At 43.6% G+C, this 11938-nt stretch overlaps 1 pseudogene; it reads right to left on the bottom strand.

Annotated features, from left to right (window-relative positions):
- ABHD17AP9 (ABHD17A pseudogene 9) lies at positions 619 to 3774 on the bottom strand (annotated as a pseudogene).

The raw sequence follows: 11938 nt of genomic DNA, 5'->3' as shown, positions 1-11938 counted from the left end.
CTGATATTTCTGATGTCGTCTCAGAGAATTAGTCACAATTATAGGAACTCAGAAGGCATTCCGTGGAGATGAAATAGAGACTAAACTAGCAGAGATTACTTAGTGAAATATTGTGATACCATTTATTTCAATTAGAAAATAGTTATAATTCATTTTAGAAGATATTATGGCTTACACTTAGTAGATGTGATGACTGAATAACAGGATTGTTGAACGATGGCACCTTGGTAGCCATTAGCCATTGCCACCATGATTCTGCATTAAAAAATCTATGCAAAACGCCCGGGCATGGTGGCTCACGCCTGTAATCCCAGCACTTTGGGAGGCCGAGGCGGGCGGATCACGAGGTTGGGAGATTGAGACCATCCTGGCTAACACGGTGAGACCCCGTAACTACTAAAAATACAAAAAATTAGCTGGGCATGCTGGCACGCGCCTGTAGTCCCAGCTACTCGGGAGGCTGAGGCAGGAGAATCGCTTGAACCTGGCAGGCGGAGGTTGCAGTAAGCTGAGATCGCGCCACTGCACTCCGGCCTGGGAGACAGAGTGAGACTCCGTCTCAAAAAAAAAAAAAGAAAAACTTTGGAGTATATTAATAAACATTGTGTTTTTTTAAAAAAAAATTTAAATCTTTAATTTCCGTTTTCACGATTTTTCTTCTTGCTTCCAAAAGGAAAGGAGTGCGTAGCTCTGTTGCCTTTACATCGTCCACGGCCCCTGGGTTGGGGCGGGGTCCCCCGGGCCGCCCGGGGGTCCACATGCAGTCCCTGGGGGGGCCGGCGCGGGGTGAGGTCCGGGGGCTGCCTTATTGCTGAGGTCCGGCCGGTTGGGGCCCTGGCGGCCGCTAGGCGCTCTGGCTGCGCAGCTCCTGGGAGATGAAGCGGGCAGGCGCTCCAGGTACTGGCTGTAGAGCTGGATGTCTTTGTGCCCGGCGCCCTCCACCCACAGCGGCTCCACGGCGTTGGGGCAGCGCTGGGAGAGCGCCAGCCCGTGCGAGAAGTCCATCACCTCGTCTTTCGTGTCCTGGATGATGAGCACGGGCGGCGTGATCTTGGACACCTTCTGGATTCTGCGGGAGGGGCGTGGGGCGGGTGAGACCTCGCCCGGCCCGGGCCCCGCCCCGCTCCGCCCCCGCCCCCGTCCCCGCCCCAGCCTGCTCACTTGGGGAAGGCATCGAAGCAGTAGGTCTTGGTGTCCGGAAGGCGACGCTCAGGTCCAAGGTGAGCGGCGAGTGCAGCACCACCGTGGCGGACTCGTAGCGCGAGGCCAGGTCCACGGTGGGCACCGTGCCGATGCTCTGCCGGTACAGGATGATGCCGTCCGGGCTGATGCGGTACCTGGCGGCACCTGAGCAGGGTCAGCCTAGGCCTCCAACGCGCGCGCACCCCTCCTGCCAGCGGGCGTCCCCGGGCCCAGCTCCGGATGCGACTCTCCAGTCTCCCCGCTCAGCCAAGTCAGTTGGTCAGGCCCAGGCTCCACACCAGTCTCAAGGGCCACCCCCAAGCCCCCCAACACCGCAGCGGTGGGCGAAGCCGGCGGCCTGGTCCTGTTCCCTGCCACTATGGTTCACTGGCGTTTCCTAGCCAGGATCTGCTGGATCCTGGCTAGGGAGTCCCCCTCGGGCTAGGGTAGGGGAAGCCCTGGCACCTCTCCTCCTCTTGGTCACCCCTAGGCGCACACTGGGAACTGTGTGGCCTCCCACATCCTGAATGCTTCACGCCTTCCTGCCCAGGTTAGAAAGCTCTTCCTGGTGCACTGGCCGGGACAGGGTACACTCTTCCTCCCTGCAGCCCTTGCCTACCCCCTTGGCCATGAGGAATTCAGGCAGCTGTGTCCCCAGATGTCTCCACCCAATTTTGGACTCTCAGAGTCCCATGCCCAATGAGCTGCCAGCCCAACCCAGGTCAACATCGAGGGTGGTGGCTGCGGGGGCAGCATCTCCTCCCACCAGTGCCTTCCCTTGGGAGTGGACAAGTCCTCCGCCACCTCAGCACCACCAGCTCCCACCCAGGGCCACCCCCACTCCCAGGTCACTGGTGTGCGGCCCCTGGCCCAGCTGACCCAGCACCAGTCCCAAGGCCTCCTCATGCCCAGTCCCAACCACGCGGGACCCACCTGCCACCCTGTCGATGCCGAGACCCCAGAACTCTCCTCCCACAAGCTCCAGGCTCTGATGCCAGGCAGATGCCCTCCTGCAAGGCAGGAGCATGGGCAGGTGTGCGTCCCGTCTGGCTGGCATTCGGACTCCACCAGCAGGGCTGTCTCCCTCCCTGGCCTGGAATCCCAGCCTCCTGGCAGCACTCCACAGCTCACTGCTCACCCATGCCCCAAAGGATGCTGCCTGGCTTGTGCCTGTGGCTGCAGCTCTGCCTCAGCCTCCCTGGCCTGCTCCCTGGCAGCCAAGGCCAGTAGTGTGCTGAGCCAGCCCAGCCCTGTCACCTGCTCCAGGCAGGAGCCCCCAGCTGCCACCTAGATGTCACCACTCAGACAATCAAACAAGACACATCCTCCATAGAGGCCCTGAGCGCTATCTGGCCTCCCCCTCACGGCTCTGGGCTGAGGATCCTGCAGGACAAAGCGACAGCAGGACAGACGGCAGAGTAGACAGAGCTCAGAGCTGGCCATGGGGGGTGTGACTCTGCCAGTGCCCCGGGCAGTAGAGACAGGAGGGGGTCCAGGAAGCTGCATGAAGTGGTGCTTGGTTTCGGCGCCCCACACTGCCGGGAGGCCCCCAGAGCCAGGGTGGTGCCAGGGGACCCAGCTCCCACGCCCACAGCAGGGACTGCCTGGGATATCTCCAAGGCAACGAGGACCCCACCTCCCAGGGCCTCTGACTTCTCAGAGCTGCGCCTGGCCCCTGCAGGAGCGGGTCAGACCACTGGGCTGGGCAGGGCAGGGCCAGGACGAGACAGCCCCAGCGGGTGGTGAGCAGGAAAGGCCCCCAGAGGCCCACGCGGGTCTTCTAGTCCAGAGCAGCACTGGCCCGGGTGGTGCTCAAACACCAGTGAAGGGCCCAGGCAAGCGCAGGGCTGGGGACCTGGATGATTAGGAGGGCTGGATCTGGAATCGAAGCTGGCCGAGACCTCAGGTGTGTGCTGGGGGTCTGCACCTGACCCTGCAGGCCCTGCCCCGGGATGGCTGAGCTCCACAGCCACGGGGCCTCATGGGCCAGGCCTTGGGACCTCGATGCAGCAGCCTCGCCTCACCTGGCCCCAAGTGCGGCCTCAGCCCGTGGGCTCCCAGCCACACATGCACAGACCCCCTGACACCACCCACCCCCTCCCGCCAGGTGGTGTCCACGCCCCTGTGACAAGCTCAGCCCCTTCCTGTCCTCAGGCCAGGGGATCCCAGGGAGCCTGGCTCCACAGGCCAGGGTGTGGGGGGACCTCCTGGCCACACCTCAGCCATGTGGAGGCAGCACCCGCATGCCTGAGCTCACCTGTCCGGCTCTCTGGCAGCATGCGTCCACTGTGGCTCCTCTCCTGCAGGGCCGCCCACCTTCCTCCCAGGGAAGCCCGCCCCTCCCCCCGGCCCCTGGCCCCCGGCCTGGTCCCCTCTCGGGTGTGCCCAGGCTGAGCTGCGCCCGGGGTCGCCCTCACCTGGTGCGCAGGGCCTGCCAGGCGGCGTTGATGTCGGCGTAGAGGTTCGTCTCGGAGGGCCTGCCCGAGCTGGCACCGTAGCCAGAGTAGTGGTAGGAGAAAATGTTGCAGTGGAGGCGGGAACACAGGCCAATGTAGAAGCTGCTCATCTGGCCCAGGTCCACCGCGTTGCCTTCCTTGTTCATGCACCTCTGGTCAGACGCAGTTCAGCTGATCTAGGCTGGGCTTGGCTAGCATTGGCTTGAAGCTGCAGCTGGTGTCCAGATCTGTTCTACGTATTTGTGATTCTCCTCAGCCCTCCCGGGTACTTGAAGCATGTTATTGTTATGGCAAAAGTCAGGAGTGCAACCTGCCTGTGCAAAAACATGCCAGGCTTCTGTTGCCTGAAATCCTCTAAGATACCCCTTTGGCTTAAGCAAAATCACACAGCAAGGATCAAAGTCAAGGAGTGGGGAATTATATCTGTCCCTTAGAGATGGAGATAGGAGAGAGTGTGAACAAATGCAGGAAAATGATCTCATCTACCAGAGTGTCCTTAAATATTTTAACATAATAAATTCAGTATTGTTTTTGTTTGATTGAATGAAGCTTTGCATGGACACAGTACAGTACAAAAGTACTATTTGAACTCTTTCTCCACATTCATAAAATTGCTAGTTTCTACCATGATTATATTTTTATGATCCATTTTTGTGTACAGATCTGAAAACTTTATACTAGAATTTATTAGCTGAGGAAAGGAACATCCACTGACATCATCATATACAAATATTTCTCAACATTTTAATGCTTGTGGTATTGTTAATGTTTCTGTGGAAAAAAAATCACAGAAGTGATTTCTAAGTCAGTTATTGATTTATTCTAATGAATTATAAAAATCAGACTAAATTACTAATAGAGAAATTACATTTGAAATACTAGTCTGAGCTACAGATGAGATGGATTTTTGTGCTCATCATTTGTACTCTAGCTATGTTTGTTGAGATTGGGTTATTAAAACATAATTATAACATTATCAGCAGAAAAGCCTGTTGTGCTATAATTAAATCATCTAAACAATCATTTTTGTGGTCTTAATATCCTGGATTTCTCAATTCATTGTAGTAGATAAGATTTCTCTTTAAATACTACTTACTATCAGTAGCTTGCTTTTCTGTGAATGCTAGAAAATTTAGAATTCTGCATTAACATTTAACAAAATATATGCTATCCTAATATTGATGCATTATATTTATCTATACAACATGCAACAAGAGAGAAATACTGGATGAATCAGAATATTTGCAGCCTATGGCAATTATCTGTAGCAACATTTTTTTTGTCTTCAGAAAAATATAGATGATTTTGGAAATGGATTAGTTCTAGTTTCAATCTAGGAAGAACTACTTATGGAAGTTTTGTGTACAGGATACTGATGTTTTCAAATATAATGCATTATTATTTTAGTTTAGTTTCTTTTACCACATACTTAGAAATTGTTCAAGTGAACAGGCTATTAAAACTAATGGTATAGATAAATGGTATAGATAGGCCTTGTAAACATCCCACTTTTCCCAAGCCATGAATTTTAACACCTGATTAAGGAGATGAAAATGGAGCCATTGGGAATGTGAATTCTTTGCTAATAATTATTTTTCTTCCTTTAAAAAGATTCTTCAAAAGGCAAGAATATGGAAGTATTTCAGGAGATACTCTTGAGGTATCTAAAATACATACTCTTCCTATCAAAATCAGTAAATAGATTGATGTAAGTAAGATAAAGTCAGGGCAACTGGTTTTGCATGTGAGTGTACACACAGACACATATCCATGTATTCTCCATCTGTTCTCAGTTACTGAATTATTAGACCCAACTGACCACTTGACTGTGTTTAACCTGATAAACAGACTCTTAACAAGAACAATATTTTAAAAGCTGGATTGTTCCTCCTACTTCTCAGCATGCATCAGCCACTCTCTTTCCCCATCCTATCTCCTGCCAAATGGTCTCTAAATATCTGTTCCACTTGGAGACACTATTGGATGTTGTTGTAAATGACTTTAATGAATATTCACTCTACCTGCTTTCATATTAATTCAGTTTTCCTAGGATGGTCTCTATGGGATCAAGCAAAAGGACTTAGTGGAATATCTCTATCTGACTCCATAAAGTAAAGAATGTGGTGAGTTTAACAGAGTGCCCCTTCCTTTACTAAATGTGAATGATGTTTCAGTATAGGAGGCCAGAGTGAAAAGTCCTAACGTATGTTTGTTTGGGCAGCCAACAATTGGTCACATTGTACATTTCATGTTACAAAGGAGCCTCATGGTAGTATAAATGAGGGTCGGGAAAAGACACTTAACTGCTCAGGGCTTTAAAATGGAGCCAGAGCAAGAATTGTAGAAGTTGACAATATCAGGAAGGAAACCTCTGTAAGCAGGCACGCAGGGGAACTCCAGAAATCTCTTCTTTGCCCCTACAACTCTGGACTTTCAGAAATACACACCCCATCCTCCTGTATTAATACAAAATTCATGTTCACAACAACATCAAAAATCAATTTTAAAATAGTAAACCTAAGGTAGACGGAAAGACATTATAGCCTCAGCATGCCTGAGATGTGAGGAGCAAATCAGAAAGATGTTGAGTGTGAAGAGAAAGGGACATCGTGATAACCAATCATTTAAAATTTTTACTCCAGAGAAATGGCAATATTTCACAGATTGTTTCTCATCACCAATCTCACAAGTATAAGTATTTTCTGAAAATTTTCCTCTCAATTTTTTTCCTTGACAGTGAAGTCCAGAATAGGTTGGTTTAGATCTTGCTCTTTTCAGCCTCAATACTCCATAATCACCTTGGCTTTTTTGATTATGACTGGATGGCATGTACTATTATTTTAATATTAAAGATTTAGTAAATAATTTTAAATGTTATCCTTAAATAACTGTGGGCTTTATTCATTTACTGTACATATTTTGAAAACATTCATAAGAACTTAAGGATTTTAATTCAAATGGTCTCTAAAGTAGAAAATGCACTCACAGATTATGCGTATGTCTTTTAAGAAACAGAAACGTGCCATTTGTTTTTAAATTGAGTAGACTTTGTATCCTTTAGAATTTGGGCAGAGTTTTCTTGCTATATTGTAGAGAACCTATCAACCATATCTTAATTTTCTTCTTCTTGAGGTTTTCAAAATTAACATTGGCATTGGTCCACTAATTCCTTGTTTTCTATTTTTGGATGAGTGTGCATAATTACCTCCATCTTAATTTTCAACATAAATGTTTAGCAGAATCTTTCATGTTTCATTGCCATGTAAGCAGATGTGGTTTTTATTCTTTTTCCTTTTCATTGAACAGTTACTTCATTTGAAATTTTTCACTTGATTTAACTTTTTTTTTTTGGTGGTAGATACATCTGTTGCCACCTGTGTCTGGTTGGCATTTTAATGTGTTGCCTCAAAGCTGTAACCACAATAGTGGCACATTTTCCTGCTGTTCCTTTATTCTTTGTTTCATGTGTATCTGTTTTCAAGAAATTGCATTGGTATACTATCATAGCTTTTTTTGTCTCTCAGATTTTCTATTGTAATTGTTTATATTTATGCATTTGGAAATATTTCATGATTGTTACATAAAACAGCAGAGCTCTTTTAGAAAGTTTTCATGGTTTCCCAAATGTACAATCATATAGATTATTTAGTAGTTATTACATAATGATCTTTGGAGCAATAAATGCTGTTATATAAGAACAATTCCCAAATGTAATTTGAAAGTTATAAGCTAGGCTTTGACGGCCTAGAATTAATGTACCTTTATAATTCTAATCTGCATGCAAATTTAAGAAGACCACGGATTGAGGACTGGGTGCATAATTTTCAGGGCCCAGTAAAAAGTGAAAATGTAGAACCCTTTGATAAAAAATTACAAAGAATTTCAAGATGACCATAATAGGCCATGCACAAGGCCTTTCTAAATGGGTAGAGTGATCATGAAGCCATGGGCATTGTTTTGTTTTGTTTAATCTTACTGTTTGGTTGTAAAGCAGATCTTTAAATCAAGAGAAAAAAGAATGCCAAAGAACATCTCAATCAAAATGTTTTAAACATTATAGAAGATTAGATCCATATAAATGAAAGGGATAAAGAAAAAGCACATATCCAACCTCAAATATAAAGCATGGAATTCTTATGTGAACTCCATTATAGCACTTGATATTTCAGCTCTATTTTCATTTTTGAACAACTCTAGATATATCTATATATTTTAGTCTAAAATTTAATTTTTATAAGTTCTAAGTTCTTCCCCAAATTCTACCTTAGATAAACAATTCAGAGATACCTGTGTTTCCTATTCTATTAGGTGGAACCATATGAAATTGTCAGTATTCAGCCTTTTCTGTCCTACAAAAAAATGACAGCTTTGTGTTTCCACCTAACACATGGCAGCCCAATAAATATGTGACAGTCAGGACCATAGAGCTACCACACTAAACAATACTAAATGCATACACATACCCTTTCCAAAACCCTGGCAGGTCTTCTTTTCCCCAAAAGAATCATTCTTTGACTCTTCACCCATTATTCATGTGAGAAATTTTCCAGGCCCGTCAACATGTCAGTTGAGTGACTGTAACAATTAGATCTATCGATTCTCCTCTCACAATTTGACATTCTTTATTGAAAAGCATGATCTAAATGTTGACTAATAGTCTGCAGAGTGAAACATGTTTACTAGTTCCCATGACCTAAAACAGTGTAAAACCATGATTCAAAAATTTCTTTTCTTAAAAACTTCTAAACAATATGTCTGCCGGGATAAACTGGTGCAATTTCTATGTGGAACCTAAAGAATTTCAATGACACATTTTCATCCTTATTGCTGTTAAATAATCCCTTCAATAGTGCCCCATCTTCTGTACTCCTTCATACGATTTTCTATCTTATTATTTTCCATCATTCTTTCTGTTACAACTATAATAGTTTCTTTGGAGAAACTATAGATTTTCCCACTTCAGAGGCATTTCTGCATTGAGCTCTCATAAACCTCTCTAACATGGTGGGAAATAGACTCAATAACATTTGTGTATGAATTCAGTTGTGAATTACTTAAGGCTCATCTATAACATCAAAAAGCAACTTGGTAAAAACAATTCTATTGAAGATTATATGATCTAAGTATATATAACTTTAGGATGGCTTCGACTGAGACAAAAATAGTATCGATACAGTGTGGAGCAATGAATTTCTAAAATTTTTATCTGCTTAACATTTTTCAACAGCACAATTTATACAGAAGCCCAACATGAGACATTCTTGTTCACATGGAATTTCTCTGCCCGCTTGAGCCCTGTAGAAATACCACAGTGTTGGTAAACAGCAACAGCAACAAGAAGATACTAAGCTTGAATTCTCAGTGGCTCAACCACACCAAAGTTTGTGGGTTGCTCCCATAAAGTTCAATGTCAGTCAGAATAAACTCCTCTATCATTAACCTATGACACACATTGCACGTAACCTTCAAAGTACTGGAAGTGGAAAAGGAGAGAACCTGGGAAGGAGGCAGGGGCTTTTTACTGCCTCAGCCCCAGAGTGATTCATGGCACTTCACCTCAGAGTCTCTTAGATCTTTCCACGTGATCCCAACATAACTGGATGTCTCTGAAATATCTGGGAGGGCATGAAGATTCATTACATGTCTTAGTATTCATTACATGTCTGTTTACAGACTCCATTTTGCTTTCTAAGATGCTCCCTGACTCTTCTCAGAAGCTTTACATAACATGCTATATAAAACACTGATCTAATCAAAATATCACCCTATACCCTATAAATATGTACAATGATGTGTCAATTTAAAAATTAAAGCAAAAAATCCACTGATCTAAAGGGATGATTTCCTCATGCTTCAGGTAATTCTTCATGGAATATTAGTCTCCAATACCAAACTTTTCTTAAGAATTTGGCTGCAAAGAATCCAATAATGTATTTTCAGAAAGAGATTGGAATGCCACAATCTTGTGCATCAACAAAAGAGTGTGTCCCTTTTTGACATTTGGGTCTCTGCGTGACTTCTGACAGAAAGGACAGGCTCAGAGGACACATGGGCATGTCCAAAATTTAATTTCTAAAAGGCTTCTCGATCTGCCCTAATGAAGACATGAGTCTAGAAAGTTTCTGACCTCCAGAGCACAGACAGTGCTTCTTCGGAGAAATTATAGATTTTCCCACTTCAGAGGCATTTCTGCATTGAGCTCTCATAAACCTAACATGGTGGGCAAGTTGGTATTTCAGTCCTTCACATTTAGCTCTGAGTTTAGTACTTGATGGATTTTAAATTAAGTTTCTTTGACATGAAATGAAATCTTCAGCTGCCTGTTAGTTCCAAAGCAGGCCCTCAAGCTCAACACATTAAAAAATTAGTCGTTTCCTCAGAATCTTGTTCTTCCTTCAGAGTTTCCAATTTTTGTTACAGATACCACCTGTCAGACAGTCATTTGGGCTTAACATTTTAAAGTCTGTTCTGGGTCTTCCACATTCATTATTCTCTACAGTCAATCACATTCCAAGGATTGTTGCCTCCAATGCATGCCTTTTTCTCAGTTTTATTTTCTCCCATCAGAGTCATGCACAGATTAGCTCTCAAGTGAGCTATTATAATGGCCTCCTAGCATCTAAACTCTCTTTTTCCAATTGATAGTTCTGCCAGAGTTGTCTTCTTAAAGCAGAGGTTAGACCGCATTTCTCTAAGTAAATTCCAACGACACCAAAATAGTGATTCTTAATAAGTATTACAAGTAGGGAAATACAGATGGGAGAGTTTCCTTGGTAAATAAGTTCATAAAATCTAGGTTAAACAATGTTAAATGGGGTTTGCTTTTTGCTGTTGCTTTGTTAATGTGCATTTGAAATTTCTAAAGTGGCATTACATATCCATAATTTCCCTTATCTGTTTGACAAAGGAATCTGGTTTGTTTAGAAGCATTTTTTCAGAACTTCTATAGGTCAACCTTTCAGAAATTCCTCATTATCAACAGTCAAATACAGATGTATTTTCTTTGGCTCTCGCAACAGGCTTAGAGGAATTTCTAGTCTGTTCTTGTGACGTTTCATTATATGCATCTTTTGCTCAGGCCTGTTAAACCTACTCAACGTGTGTATCTTCTACTCCATGTCTTTATTCTTACTGTTGTCTTAACATGAAATCCTTGCAACCCAATTCATAGTTTTTGTACTTTGGAAAAATCCAGATTATGTATCATCAATACATATTTTTTCTCTATTGAGATTTTCCTGTTTTTATGTATCACAGCCAGAAGTAATCACTGCATAGAGTATTTCTGCAGAAAGATGGAAGAGTTCTATTTTAACACAATATTTACTATACACCCAGCAAAGGTCTAGGTATTTATAGATACTATTTTATATATTCATCCCATCAATGCTATGAAGAAATATTAATAAACCCATTATATATGCTAAAAGGTAGCGACACATATATGCCACATGTGCAGGTTTTCTCAGGTATTATTAGCTAGGGAAGCTGTGTTGTAACAGTCTTCAAAAACTTCCTTCTATTGTTTACATGCTATTCCACATCATTTTGTTTTCATTTCTTTTGTAGTATCTAATGTATTCTACTAAAAAAAAAAGTACAGAAGTTGGAAAACTCTTGTGAAAAAACATATATTACATATATACTATTCTTCATGATGCTCAAAATTTTCATCATTATTAACATTTTGTATATATGTGTGTGTGTGTGTGTGTATGTATGCGTGTTAGATATATAATTTAAAAGAAAACAATAAGTTGGTGGCTTATGGCATATTGTTCCTTAAGTCCTGCATTTGAAACACACTGAGTGAATCAGCACATTTGATCATCTTTTAACTACAGTAGATGATTATACATTAAAAATGCATTAACCATCCAAATACATCTTTTTTATTTATTTATTTATTTATTTATTTTTATTTATTTTGAGACGGAGTCTTGTTCTGTTTGTTGCCCAGGCTGGAGTGCAGTGGCGTGATCTTGGCTCATTGCAAGCTCCGCCGTGACCTTGGACATATCCCTAATATTTTCAAGCCTCAGTTTCTCGTCTTTAAAATTAGAATAAAGATACCAAACTCCTGGGGTTTTGTGAGAGTAAAATGAGACGATGTTTGTAAGAGACTCAGCGCAGTGTCAGTATCTACCATGTGCTATGTACTCTGCGTTTTCTTTTTTTCTTTTTTTTTTTTGAGACGAAGTCTCGCTCTGTCACCCAGGCTGGAGTGCAGTGGCGCTATCTCCGCTCACTGTAAGCTCCGCTTCCCGGGTTCAAGCCATTCTCCTGCTTCAGCCTCCCGA

This window comes from Homo sapiens, chromosome 16 (genome assembly GCF_000001405.40).
Source record: "Homo sapiens chromosome 16, GRCh38.p14 Primary Assembly".
NCBI lineage: Eukaryota > Metazoa > Chordata > Mammalia > Primates > Hominidae > Homo > Homo sapiens.
Note: the sequence above shows the minus strand (reverse complement) of the source record. Positions and strands in the feature narration are given on the sequence as shown.